The sequence below is a fragment of the Homo sapiens genome, chromosome 15, assembly GCF_000001405.40.
Source record: "Homo sapiens chromosome 15, GRCh38.p14 Primary Assembly".
Taxonomy (NCBI): domain Eukaryota; kingdom Metazoa; phylum Chordata; class Mammalia; order Primates; family Hominidae; genus Homo; species Homo sapiens.
The window spans coordinates 66,895,936-66,910,233 of record NC_000015.10 but is presented as its reverse complement, the minus strand read 5'-3'; the positions used below and the strand labels follow the sequence as shown (position 1 = coordinate 66,910,233).

The following is a 14,298-nucleotide window of genomic DNA, read 5'->3' as shown; positions in this document are numbered from 1 at the left end:
CAACAGATGGGTGGAAATGAGGAGATGGAGGCTCAGAGAGGGCAAGCGACTTGCCTGAGGTCACACAGTGAGTTAGGAAGTACACTGGACTCCAGGACTCCTCTGAGATCCTCTGGGATTCTCTAAGCCCCAGTTTTCCTCCTCTGGGATCCTCTGAGACCCAATTTTCTCATCAGTAGAACAAGGACCTTAAGAGTTGCTGCTGGGAGTTTAGCACAGGGCTCGGTATACAGTGGCTGTTAAGCAATGTTGGATATGGCTTTCATTGTCTTGCCCTTCCTCAGCAAGGGCAGGCCTAGCTTTTCAAGTGCCCAACTCCGAATTGCAGAGCTGGAATATACTCAGGTGCAGGCTAAGAGCAACTGTCATCTTAAATCTGCAGACTCTCTCAGCATACAAACGTGTTTCCATCTGCTCCGGGGGGACATACACCTGCTCTGGGGATACAGGGTGGACTCTGGAATTCTATATATTTATTAACTCATGGACACATGACAACCTGTCTCAAGATGGGCAGGCATGGAAGCCCATTTCATGGATGAGAAAACTGAGAGTAGCATAGAGTTTCAATGACTGACCTAGAATCAGACAGATAGTCGATGGCAGAGGGGAGACTCCAACCCAGGGCTATGGACTCCAAGGTCAGTGTACTTTCCAGTGAACTGGTAGCATCTGGTGCCCTGGCCAGTCTGCAGGAGCCTGGGTGGACGGTGGTGAGGTTTGTGTGGGAAGCGTGTTTCCTGATGGTGGTATAAGCAGCTGCTGATGTGACAGCATTTGAAATGCTACACGGGTACCCCTGATCCCTCCGTGCCTATAGCCAGGCCTTAGAGAGGACTGTTCTCTAAGTTAAGTCTTGCCTTTTCCCCACGTATATACTTATCTATTTTAATTCTATGACCCGCATGCTCCACGAATGTTCCTTCTCTGTCCCATTAGTGAGAATGAGTTTCTGGTTCGCCTAGGCAGCAGGAGAGCCCTCAGTGCTCAGCAGGGGCCTTTGTGTTAGTTAGGGATGGAGAATCTTCTGTGTGACTCTCAGATGCTACCACATCCTTAGTGACAACAACATGGAACTCACTAACTCATTCCAGAGATGGAGTCCTCACCATTGATGGACAAAGCTCTTGTTTGAAATTCACCTTTCCCGGTGTGGAACCCAAGCCAGTATCTTCAATAAAGCATTATCACTTCATTATGAATGGCCAGACATCCTCCCTGATCTGCCCAAGGCCAGGATGTTCCAGAGCCCCCTGGTGATGGAGGCTGTGACAGTCATACCAAGCACCAACTCAAACCCACATAAGTTAGCTGAGGCCAAGAGAGCTGAGTCTGTGGGCCTGGGCAAGCAAGGTCCCATTTCCTAGGAGGATGGAGAAACAGATATGAAGTGTCAGAGATGAGAAGACAGGGAAGGGGCGTTCCAGGCCTTGGGCAGACACAGCACCTATTGCTGTGCATGTCTTTTAGGCATGGGCTGAGGAATGCAGCCAGAAAGCTCACAGCTAAAAGGATCAGTTCTAGGCAAATACAAATCCTTTGGCTGTGTACCAGGAAAGGATCACTAAAACGGGAAGATGTGAGCTGAGAGTGTCTACTCGATAAAGTTTCAGAGGAGGCTTCAAAGCTAGGCAGTGAAGGGAAGGCTGCAAACTTTGCTGACCACTTCATTCAACAATTACTTTGAGAAACGTGCTGTGTGCCCAGGACTGGGGTGGGCTCTGAAAAGAAGAGGAAGCAGAAACCACTCTCGAAACAGGCCCTGTCCTCCCAGAGCCTGCCAGCTGCTACAAGTCTGCAGGCTCCAGGCTGGCAACTGTGTCCTGGTGAGAGAGCTAGTTCCCGTTTCTGACTGCGTTTGGCTTCTCCTTACACGGTCTGTGCTGGCTTTGGGGGCTGGGTGCAGGAGGTAGTAGAAACGCCCACAGAGGAGGCTGCTCTTTGGACAGCCTAGCTCAGCCTCTGCAAGCAAATGCTAAGCCTGTGCAAAGCTAGGTCCCATTGTAGAATGACCACTCTGGGAGGTATCATTTGCCACAGAAAAGGGGGCAGAGACTTGTTTGCTTTCAAAATGGCTTCCCTCAAACAAGGCTCCAGCTAGGTCATAGAATGCCTTCTGTGTGCATTTGAAGGTGGCCCCTTGGGGCAGACATACGCCACAAGGACCTCAGATGGATGAACAGATCACAGGATAGACTTCAGCCTTCACAGTGCCCTGGGTTGGCTATGCTTGTGCAGTGAACAACCTGTACAACTGTAATTGGTGGCTTTGATGGCCAGCTGCATGGCCAAAGCTCCCAGACCCCTTTCAGCTGTCACCTGTGGGAGGATCCAGGCCTAGGCTCTCCCTTGACATAAAGATAACCCCAGATCTAAGTTGAGATTCCTTCCCAAAGGTGGAGGAAGCTGTGCTCTAACACCCCCACCCCACATACAACCAGCTCACTCAGAAACTCAGCTTCACATACCATGACCTCCTGACACCTTCGCTTCATGGAGGGATGGGTGGGCATGGCAGGGGCAGGAAAAGACCCCCGAGGCCCCTTCCAGAGTCAGTGCCAACTCTTCTCCTGTTCTTGCCGCTCTTTAAGAAGGCTTTCTAAAGAAGAGGAACCTTCCGTGGTGGCAGATGGCAGATAAGTAGGAATGGTAAATAGTTTTAATTACTGCATAATGTAAGTGAGACAATAAAGGAGAGACAGTGGAAGCAAGCTGCTGCCGCTGAGGCCCTGAAACTGTTGTGGGGCCCAATTTGTCTAGCATGTGCTGTTCTCAGTCTTGGGAGGGCTTTAAAGAGAACGCTGAAAATATTAATTGCCCGCCTCACTGGCCCATCCATCTTCACAACCGAGTAACACGCTTTTTTAATTTCAGGGGAATCGTTTTCAAATGGGAATCATGCAAATGAGTATTTTAGCTATTCATTTGTTTTACTGCGAGCGCTTTGTGAGCAAATGGCCTACAGCTTGCAATGAATTAAAAGACATGGGCACTGGAGACCGATTTTTAATACAAAGTCTTGACTCGGAGGCGACCCCGACCAGCAGCACAGAAAATGTTGGCATAGCAACTTTGGGCATTTTCATGCAAATTGGCTTCTATATAGATGATACGAATGCAATGTTTTCCTTCAACTAATCATCATAAAATTAGTTTCACTATATTTAAATGCCTCCACTTAATGCATTATATCCATATGCATGAAATTGCCTCCGCTAATGCAGTACATAAAATGCCAAAGATACAATGAATAGCCAAATTGCAAGCAGTTATGTTATCTCCCATAAAACGACTCCCCTCCCCACTTCTTTTTTTGTGAGTGTGGGTGTTATTGAATGTGTGGGCGCCAAAGGCATCTATCACAAGTTACTATTAACACACAGACTCTCTCTCTCACACACACAGCACGCACATCCCCAAGTCCTCTACAGTTAAGTAACAGTAAGGTTGTAACACAATCTAACAAAAGCCAGACAAGGGAGGGGCTGGCCTGGTCGTGGCTGGCAAAACCAAAACTCCCCTCACAGGGTCTGCACCCAGAAGAAAGAGTAGAGTAGAGAGCACTTGGCTTGCCTGGCCTTGGAATTGGCTCTGGGAGGGGTGGGGTGGTTTCAGCCCCCCATCCCCAGTCACACTTTGGATAGGGAGGAGTGAGAAGGATGAGTCTGAGCTATACATGGGGACCCAGAAACCGACATGAAATAATCAAAAGTGGAGCCACTGTTGCTAAGATCAGTGCCCAAGTCTGCACCTGGCAGCCTGGAGAGAAGAAAACTTGGAGAAGATGATCTAAGTCAATAACTGAGGAAGGATTGGAGAGGAAGGAAGAAAGGGAATGTCCATGGAATACCTATGTTCTCAGCACTGTGCTTGACGCTGTCCATCTGCTATGTCATGTCACCTTTCTTTACAACAAAGTGAAGAACTCGACATGATCATCACTGGCCTTGAGGACTATGAAATGGGTCTCGAAGTGGAGGAACACTTGAGATCACAGGACCAGTAAGTAGCAGAGGAAGGATTTAAACCCAGCTCTCTCTGATTCCAAAGCTGCACTTTCCTCTGTACCAGGCTGTCCCCTGCAGGTGGCATAAAGTAATGGCAGGACTGGGTTCCATTGTCCTTTTTGCTCTGAGAGGAGCTAGCTGTCCTGTCTGCAGTGAGGCAAGGCCAAATGTTTAGAAGGAGAGACTGGTTTTGTGTCTTTCCATTACCTCTTGGCTTGTATTCTCCTTCCATATCTGATCAGTCTTCAATTGGATCCCAGGTTCCTCCAGGGTCAAGAGGACTAGGCTTCCCGTGGACGGAGAACAGTGGCCCCCCAACTCACTATCTGGCCTCAGCCTCCTCCAATCCCACTAGGAAACGGAGGCTATTCACTCCAGCCTTGGAGTATTTAAAATTTGGCTTAAATATATGGGTTCTACTTGTGTTCAGGGTGGGGGCTATGAGGGGGAGAAGCAAAAGGTACAACTGGAAAATACAAGCCCTTCCTTTCCAGCTGGAGATGGAATTCCACCTCGGGAATGCTCTGCCTCTTATTCCTTGGAGGACTTTGTGTTTGGCTTAAGTGGGGGTGGCATTTCCTCACAAGGAGGCATAAGGTAGCCTTGGAAAACAGTGTGGCAGTTCCTCAAAAATTAAAAATAGAATTACCATGTGGTTCAACAATTCTACTCCTGGGTATATACCCAAAAGAGATGAAAGCTGGGTCTCAAAGAGATATTTGCACAGCAATGTTTGTAGCCGCCATACTCACAGGGGCCAAAAGGTAGAAGCAACCCACATGTCTACCAACAGATGAATGTGTAAACAGAATGTGGTCTAGCCATACAATGGAATATTATTCAGCCTGGAAAAGGAAGAAAATTCTGTCACATGCCACAACATGGATGAACTTTGAGGACAATACGCTAAGTGAAATAAGCCAGTCACAAAAAGATAAATACTCCAGCCTGAGCAACATAGCAAGACTCTGCCTCTACAAGAAAAAAAAAAAAAAAAAATCCAGGTGTGGTGGCCTGTGCCTGTAGTCCTATCTACTTGGGAGGCTGTGGTGAAAGGATCTCTTGAGCCCAGGAGTTCAAGGCTGCAGTGAGCCATGATCACGCCACTGTACTCTAGCCTGGGCGACAGAGTGAGACCATGTCTCTTAAAAAAAAATGACAAATGCTGTATGGTTCCAATTATACAATGTACCTGGGAGTCAAATTCATAGAGACAAAGTAGAATGGTCATTACTAGGGGCTGCAGAGAAAGGGGGTGTGGAGTTAAGGTTTAATGAGTTCAAAGTTTCTGTCTGGGAAGATGAAAAGTTCTGAAGGTGGATAGTGGTGCAGCTGTACAATAATGTAAATGTATTTAATGCTGCTGATCTGGGCCAGGTGCAGTGACTCATGCCTGTAATCCCAGCTTTTTAGGAGGCTGAAGCGGGTGGATCATGAGGTCAGGAGTTCGAGACCGTCCTGGCCAACATGGTGAAACCCCTTCTCTACTAAAAATACAAAAATTAGCCGGGCATGGTGGCACATGCCTGTAATCCCAGCTACTCAGAAGGCTGAGGCAGAGAATTGCTTGAACTCAAGAGGTGGAGGTTGCAGTGAGCCGAGATCATGCCACTGCACTCCAGCCTGGGTGACAGAGTGAGACTCTGTCTCAAAAAAACAAAAAACAAAAACAAAATACAAAAAACAAAACAGAAAAAAAACTACTATTGATCTGTACTCTTAAAAATGGCTAAAATGGTACCTTTTATGTTCTGTATATTTTACTACAATTAAAAATAATGTTTTTAAAATGCATGAGGTAGAAAGACATCTTTCCTACCCAAAGCATGTCACAGAAGTCAGGAGACAAACTCTCTGAGAGGCTTGATGAAGAACAGACTCTTGGATTGCTCAGGCCTGGCCACCTCTTGAGAAACACTTCTGTATTCAATACAAGCTTGTTGAACTAAATTAAGTGGCAAAGTGAGGGAGGCCCCTAGGAGTGACGGGATTAGCTGGGTCTGATGCATGGATCAGAAACTCCTCTAATCTCGTTAAGCTGACCCATTTTCTTTTCCTTCTAAATTTCTGCCTTTTGTCATCTGTCTTGTCTGAACAGCCCCTTCCATCTATCCCCAACACATAAATACTCCTATTTAATTTCTTTCCATTGGTATTTTTTCTTTGTTTCTCCTCCATAAGTGGTTTTCTCACCACTCAGAATTGTTATGGCTACTGTGAATTTACAAACATTAAATAAGTTGGCACACTCTTATGCAAATTGAATGATTTATCCTAAGCATTATCCTGTGCGTCATACTAACAGATGTGTCTCCTGTAAGCATCGGTCCTGTGGTTCCAATAGCAGCCACCAGGTGGCAAGTTTTGGAAAACTCTACCTATATCAAATATGGCAAATGCCGCCTCTGGTGGTCGTATTGAGATTTGCAGGCACGATGCCTAGGGGGCAATTAACCAGGATTTGACGGCACATATCTGTATTAAAAAGCCAGCCTTGGCCGGGCGTGGTGGCTCACGCCTGTAATCCCAGCACTTTGGGAGGCCAAGGCGGGTGGATCATGAGGTCAAGAGTTCAAGACCAGCTTGGCCAAGATGGTGAAACCCTGTCTCTACTAAAAATACAAAAATTAGCTGGGCATGGTGGTGGGCGCCTGTAACCTCAGCTACTCGGGAGGCTGAGGCAGAGAACTGCTTGAACCCAGGAGGTGCCTGGGTGACAGAGCAAGACTCCATCTCAAAAAAAGAAAAAAAAAAGAAAGCCAGCCTCTTTGCGTGATTGCAAGTCTAATGGCTCTGAAAATGACCACCCAGCTCCAGCTGCTGTCACACCCTTTGGTGCCTTTAGCTCCCAGTGCGCCCATGTCTTGTGTCTAACCTGCTTCTGGTCCAGGGCTTTTAGGCTTCAGCCATAGCTGTACTCAATGGACCATTCTCTTCCATGGCTTCAATCTTGAGGTGGGACCAAAGGTCCCAGCTCATTCTGTTTCTACCATCTTTCCCAGATTTGGGTTTTTAATTGTCCTCTCCCAGAATGTTATTGTGGCTTTGTTCCTGGCACACCCTCCCCGGTGCAGCCTTCTTTGCGAGTTTCTTCCAGATCTGCACCTCCTGCATCTGGAGGAAGCTGGGTCTCCAGCTGCAATGGAATCATGTCATCCTTGACCTGCAAAGGGGTTGCTGCCCTTTGGAGAAATTTCTTTTGCAATTGATAGTGTTCTCCTAGTTTACAAGTCGTTAGAAAAGAAATGGTGACTGCTAAAAGTCAGTGGGGATTCACTAAGAAAAGTTACCCCAAACTCACCTGGCTTCCCTTCTGATGAGACGCTTTAGGCCTAATGCATTTTTATTTTTGCCAAGCATTTTGTAAGTCTCTCTTGTTAGACTGGTGAACAAAGTGGAGAGGTGAGGCAAGAAGAGAGTTTAAACATGCAGATACACAGCTGGTTAATCAACCCTGCACACAGAATATGGAGCAATTGATTAGAGGGAGGTCTCTGGTGAAACTGTGTAGGCCCATCCTTATCTCTGTTCTATTCCGCTTTTTACTCCCTTTTATGAAGACTCTAAAGGCAGACTTTCTGCATCTCCAGGCATGGGGCAGAAGCACTTGAGTGACAAAATCTGGATTAGAAAAGTGTTTAATAGGCTACAAAAAATGGGCTGAATGCAATAAAGTGAAATCGAACGACAAAAAATGTGACATTTCCCATTTAGGTTCAAACAATCAATTGCCGGAGCATGAGCATGGGATGGCGGACACTTGATGTGATATAGCAGGTTCTTATATCATGAGGTCAGGAGATCGAGACCATCCTGGCTAACGTGGTGAAACCCTGTCCCTACTAAAAATACAAAAAATTAGCCAGTCGTGGTGGTGGGCGCCTGTAGTCCCAGCTACTCGGGAGGCTGAGGCAGGAGAATGGCATGAACCCAGGAGGCAGAGCTTGCAGTGAGCCAGGATGGCGCCACTGCACTCCAGCCTGGGTGACAGAGCGAGACTCCATCTCAAAAAAAAAAAAAAAAAAAAATCCCTAAGGTTTTAGTAATCCATAAATGAATTTCTAACTAAAGATGTGGTATATCTTGCAAGGAAGAGAACTAAAACAGAAATTTAAAAAATAAAGATGTCATATAGCTGTTAAGAGAATTAACGTCAGCTTGGATCGTATTGATGCAAGTGCGGGGTAAAGATGGTGTTGGTGCCAGACCCACTGTCATGGTGCCCATCAGACACATGGCACCTCTGGGGAAGCAGCCCTGCCACCCAGGGAAGCTGGGTTGCTGTGCTGAGCTGGTCAGGGATCCTGCAGTCATTTCATATGAATGACGCTTGAGCTGCAGAAGGAAGCAGGCACCTCTACACCCCCAATAGTCACTGTAGCTCCTGACGCAGAGAAGGTGCTGGCTGCGTTTGTGGGAAGAACAAACATATGAATAATTAGAGGGGTCAGGTGACTTTCTGTGAATATTTCAAAGAGGGAGCCAGGCCCAACAGTGGCAGTGGCCCAGAATATAATTGGCCCTCTGAACCCCCTTTCCTATGGGCCCACCTATGAGCCTTCCCTGAAAGCCTATTCCTAGGAATCCACTATGAGCAGTTTGTACATCTTAGAGTGGAAAGAGACATCTATTCCTGGTTCAAATTCCTTCTCTACCATTTCCTGTGTGAACAGGCAATGATGTCACTTCTCTGGGCCACTTCCCTTAACTGCCAAGTGAAAATACAACAACTGCCTCCTTAGAGGGTTGCTGTGAGGATTAAAATAAATGGCAGATGCAGGAACCCAGCACCTAATAAAGGATCAGAAAATGTGTAGAAGGAATGAGTTTCCTCTGACCCCTCTAATGCACCCTGATTCCCCACTCAGTATTACTGTTGACAAACATCCCTTGGCCCACCAAAATCTTTTCCTCCTTCAGGCACAGAGACTCCACTCTCCCATCAGGAAGCCTCCCTGGCCACACCCTGCCTCTTCTGGTTCCCCAGATCACTTACTATCCATTCTCACCCTGTTTCCCAGCTCACGTGAAGGAACAGAGGACATCTGCCAGGGCTGGCCATCCAGGTCTGGCCTCACTGCCTCCCAGGTCAACATCTCAGTGCTGTGAACTGGACTGGGGCAGTGTGGAGTGGGGAGCGGTACCCTTTTTGCGGACTCTGGAGACCTGGACTGTAGCCCTGGCTGCTCCGGAACTGGGCAATTCCAGTCCCCTCCCCGGGCCTCATGGTAGCTTCCCCAGACTACCGCTCGCACTCAGTAATTCTCTGAAGTACTGGGACTTGCGGCATTGTCAGTGATTACGAGGTAAAGACGGGGATCCCAAGCAGAAGGGGGCACCTATGTGGCAGCCATTTTTACCTTCCTAGGAAGACTCAGGTCCCTGGAGATGATGGCACGCTCTCCCTGCCAGGGTAATTGTCTCAGTGTTTCCTTGCCTGGTGAGAACACTGGGGTCTGTAGCCTTCTTCAGGATGCACCGATGTCTCATCTCAGAAGGACGCCCGTGGGCTCCTTGACCCTCTTGCTGGTTTTCTTACAAGTAGAAGCACCCTGGCTTGGAGTCTCTAATCCCTGGGAACCTTGAGCAGCTCCTTTTCCTCTCTGAGCCTCATTTTCTCCATGTATACAATGAAAGGATTGAGTTAAATGAGTTCTGAGGCCCCTATCAGCAATAATGTCAAAATTATTTATCTTAGGGGGCCCCACCCCCAATAATCGAGGTGGAAGTATCAAAACAGGACCTGGGGTTAGTAAACAAAGCTTATTAAATGGAACCCTCAAATAATTATTCTTCCAATCTCAATCAAGAAACCCAAATAATCTGGCTTCTCAATTTGCTCCAGCAACTTCCTTGAATTTCTGCTGTTGATTTGTTCGGGTAGCCAGTTAATGGAGGCTGGCACACCAAACCCATTCATTTTGTTTTCTTAGAGGCAGGCTCCATTTTGGAAATCAGAATGAGGAGGTAATGGCTTTTGAAGTATTGCCAACGAGGGAGGAGGAAAGTCCTCATGCAGTGTCATCACTGCCTGGGATCCCACAAGGATGATGACACTGAGGATAAGAATGAAGAAGGATGGGAAAGGATGCCCCTGGCGGAGGGTCCCCAGCCATAACTGGGGATAGAGATGGCTGGGTGTCTGGTGAGACAGAGCTGGTGGCGGCAGAGCCCGAGGGCAAACTGGCTGGGATCTGAGGTGTCCAGACGTCCCTTGCAGGGGAGCACAGGGGCCAACAATGGGAATTCACATTTAGGTACTGAGAGCTTGTGCCAGAGGAGGCAGAAATTCTAATTCCAGGGACAAAGTTAACCGGCCACCACAGAGAGCTGGCAGATGTCAGAGGCAGGAGTAAAGGTTCAGGCACCCAGTGGCTCAGAGTATGTCCATTCATTCAAGAAATATTTATTAAAGACCTACAATGTGCCAAGCACCATTCTAGACCCTGGGGATATGGCCTGAAACCAGACAGGAGAGCCCTGCCCACGTGGAGCTCATTCTTGTGGAGGAGGCAAGTACAATTAATTACGTAACATAATGGCAGGGAGGAATTGATAAGGGCCATAAAATATAAGGCAAGAAAAAGAAATGGAGGCCAGGCATGGTGGCTCACATCTGTAATCCCAGCACTTTGGGAGGCCAAGGCAGGTGGATGACCTGAAGTCAGGAGTTGGAGACCAGCCTGGGCAAGATGGCGAAACCCCATCTCTACTAAAAATACAAAAATTAGCTGGGTGTCGTGGCGGGTGCCTGTAATCCCAGCTACTTAGGAGGCTGAGGCAGGAGAATTGCTTGATCTGGGGGAGCGGAGGTTGCAGTGAGCTGAGATCACATCACTTCACTCCAGCTTGGGTGAAAGAGTAAGACTCCATCTCAAAAAGAAAAAAAAGAAAGAAAGAAAAAGAAAAAAGAAAAAGGGGTGGAGAGTGATGGAGTTGCTATTTCAGATAAGACGGTCAGGGAAGGTTTCTCTGAGGAGGTGACAGAGAGCAAAGACCTGAATGAAGCAGAGAGTAAACAAAGGGCCAGAGAGACATAAGCTGAGTCTGTCTCCATTAGCCACACTCAGCAACTTCTGCTTATGTCTTAATGGCCAGAGCTGGGTCACTTGGCAGCCTCTGCCCAGTCACTGGAAGGGAGAAGAGGGTTTCGCTGGGGGTAGGCAGGACAGCCAATCAACACTCTGTGCCCTGGGTCATCTTATTAGAGCCTTCCAGTATGCAGGGTGGCTCTGTGGGGACGCTCACCCTGGATCACCTGAAAGGCCTGCCCCTCCTCCCATGAGAAAGAGCCCTGTAGGGAAACAGGAAACTCCAGCTCCAGCTTGAGCTGTGCTGCAAACCCACTGTGTGACCTCAGGCCAGATGCCTCTGGTCTCTGGGCCATGCTGGAGCCATCATGAGACTGCTGTCTGCTTGAAGGGTCTCGAGTTCCAAGTGCCACCTCCCTTTCAGCCACCATGAAGTTTTAACATTTAGAGCCCTAAGAACCCAGCTGGGTCTTGGAGGGGCACACAGAATGAGCACTTTCCCGAAAAAGACACAAATACTGAGGGGCAGCCCAGTGGCAGGTGTGGGGCGGGGGTGGAGTGAGTGAGGCCTCACCCCCCAGAAACACAGCTAAGGCTCATTAATCAAGATACACTGTATTTTAATGCAGTCTTTTTTAAAATCAAAATTAATGCACAAAATCCATGATGAACAAAATATTAAAACTTTAAGTAACGACAAGATTAGTATTACTTACCAACTTTTCCTTTGGCCTGAGGCTCCAATACGGTTGTGATGTGTGGCAATGTTGCTGACCTTGTCTTTATTTAAAATTCTAAAATTTTGCTTATTATCATTAAAATACATATCAAATTAAAGTATTGTTTGATTACTGAGTATTTGGAGGCCTCCTTAAATTTTGCTCTCAATGCAGTCGTTTCACCCACCTTGCCCTAGTTCTGGCCTCCATCCCATTTGCTCTCAGTCGCCTCACCCACCTTGCACTAGTCCTGGCCTCCATCCCAGCTGCAGGCCTCCTGGGAAAGCCCCTTGCTGCACACTGGTCAACCTGCCCAGCCAGGCATTTGCCATGTCTGGGGATATCAGGGACACCCAGTGGACATGTGCAATTTTTAGCCCTTTGCCATGAAGTGTTCGGATGAAAGTCCCCGCTATTTCTTTAATAAGACAACATGCTGTAGCCATTAAAAATTTAGTCCCACAAATTAGTAGCGCCTCTCTAAAGTGCCATATTTATTTAATCATAGTAGATTTGGGCCAAACCCTCTCCTGGGGCTTCCAACACCTGCGTCTATATCCCTGAGGAGTTCAGCCCCCAGGACCACGCTATTCACACAAAGTACCTCTGCCTATGGTTCCTCTAGCCCGCTGGCTCACAGGGAGATAAAATACCTTAGCCTCATTACTCAGATGGCTAATTGCAAACTGATTTAATTAAAGTATACAGATATTTCCCTGAGTTAGTTACATTTCATATCACTCCATTAGGAGTAATTGGCTGGAATGGGGAACTGTGGAGAGGGAGGCTGGTCAGGTGGGCGGGGGCTGGAAGCTCCCTCAGTTGATGCCAGGCTTGTTGCCCAACTATTCGGGGCCGACTAAAGGCACTCCTGACACTACAGAGTCACTGAGAGAGACCCACCTCCACTCAGCAGCTTACTGGGGGTGTCCCTGGATCATTTTAATCACAAGCACTAACTGCTCACAGCCTGGGTCGGGAACCTGGGTTTGAAGTTTGCTTCTGCTCTTACCAGTTCTGTGACCTGCAGCAGTCACCTAATTTAGCTGAGCCTCAGTTGCTTCCTCTTTAAATGGGAATTGTATAATGCTCACCTTAAATGGTGTGATGAGATTAAATGAAAACAAGCTTCAAAAGCCTTTATCATAGTACCTGGTGCACAGTTAATGCTTAATAAAGAATAACTTTATTGCTTGGGGCCAGATGTGTGGCTACAGAGTGAAGAGGTATAGACAGTGGAAGAAGCACCAGTCTCAGAGGCAGCAATTTTGGAGTCTGGTCTCAGGTACGCCCTTGACTATCTGCAATCTTTGACAAATTGCTTCCTTCCCTGAGCCTGTTTATTCACCTGCAAATTATGGGAAGGAAGCAGAGACTGTGGTCTGTTCACCCCATATCTGTGATTTCCTTCTTCCTTACTCACACAGCCCTGATTGGGGGAGCCATGAACTAGCTACAAAATCTGCATTTCCCAACCTCCCTTATAGCTATGGCTGGCCGCATGACCAATTCTGATCAATGAGGCAAAAGCCAAAGTTGTTCCCTTCTTGGGTGGGGTTCCAAGAAGCCTCCTTCGAAAGGAAGCTGACTCCGCTGCCAGGCACCCTTCCCCCTCCTCCTTTCTCCTACCTAGAATGTGGCCCTGATGTTTGGAGAGCCAATGGCCACCTTGTGATTAGAAGGTGACCTTGAGGGTGAAAGCCACTAGCAGAGGCACTTGGCAGAGAAGAAAGCTAGGAGACGCTAGAGTCTTTGGCGGTACCTTGGAGTTGTGGCCCCAGTTCTGATCACCCCTGGATTTCACAGTGCAAGACAGAAAGATATGCCTCATCTTTTGTGTTTTGTTTTTGTTAAGTCTTAGCTTTTTGAGTCTTGGTTACCTGCTGCTGAATACTATCCATAACTGATAGTACTGGCTTGCCTGCTCTATCAGAGTATTAAAAACTTGATCTCTGAGCTGGTCAGAGCTACCTGCTCATCTCCTTTCTGCACCAGGAGGGATCCCTCAGCCTGCAGCAATGTTCTCCCACTCCTATCTGTCTCCGGCCCCGATCTACCCCCTCAGCTCAGGGTCTTCACTAAGATCCAAGACCCCATGTTCCTAGCCCCTTCTCACAGATATTAGGCCCTAGATCTGCCTGCTTCTCCAGTGTCTGCACAGCCAGTCCATTTTCTGATGCCCACAGCAGTGCCGACAGACTGGGGAGGAGATTTGTATATGAAAGCTCTGGTGTGTCGGAAACGCAAGAATGCGCTCCTGAAATATCTGTCCCTTCGTTTCATTGTGTGACTGTGGAACATTGTGGAAAATCTCCAGATCTCTCTGGGCCTTGGTTTCCTCACCTGTAGTGAGATACATTTGCAGTTAATTGCCTCTAAAGGCATCTGCCTGCCAGACACAGGCGACAAGGCCTTTATGGGTCCCTGAAGCAGTATCCCAGAAGGTCCACCCCCGTACCTTCTTATAAGATAGGCCTCAGGCTTAAAGCTGTCAGTGAAACCACTTTTGCAAAATTATGGCTGAGACAGTGAAAGAGATCT

The 14,298-nt window shown here is 47.7% G+C and overlaps 4 annotated features.

Annotated features, from left to right (window-relative positions):
- Positions 1,934 to 2,003: a silencer, noted in NCBI's record as "silent region_6572". NCBI's record gives its function as "represses an Ori minimal core promoter by ATAC-STARR-seq in GM12878 lymphoblastoid cells {active_cell/tissue: GM12878}" and the evidence as "EXISTENCE:reporter gene assay evidence [ECO:0000049][PMID:35858748]".
- Positions 2,438 to 3,598: an enhancer, noted in NCBI's record as "VISTA enhancer hs660". NCBI's record gives its function as "enhancer in: neural tube[3/9] | forebrain[5/9]" and the evidence as "EXISTENCE:transgenic organism evidence [ECO:0001131][PMID:17130149]".
- Positions 6,269 to 6,318: a silencer, noted in NCBI's record as "silent region_6571". NCBI's record gives its function as "represses an Ori minimal core promoter by ATAC-STARR-seq in GM12878 lymphoblastoid cells {active_cell/tissue: GM12878}" and the evidence as "EXISTENCE:reporter gene assay evidence [ECO:0000049][PMID:35858748]".
- Positions 8,561 to 9,760: an enhancer, noted in NCBI's record as "MED14-independent group 3 enhancer chr15:67192812-67194011 (GRCh37/hg19 assembly coordinates)". NCBI's record gives its function as "activates an origin of replication core promoter dependent on BRD2, BRD4, P300/CBP and CDK7 cofactors, and independent of MED14, by STARR-seq in HCT116 cells {active_cell/tissue: HCT116}" and the evidence as "EXISTENCE:reporter gene assay evidence [ECO:0000049][PMID:35650434]".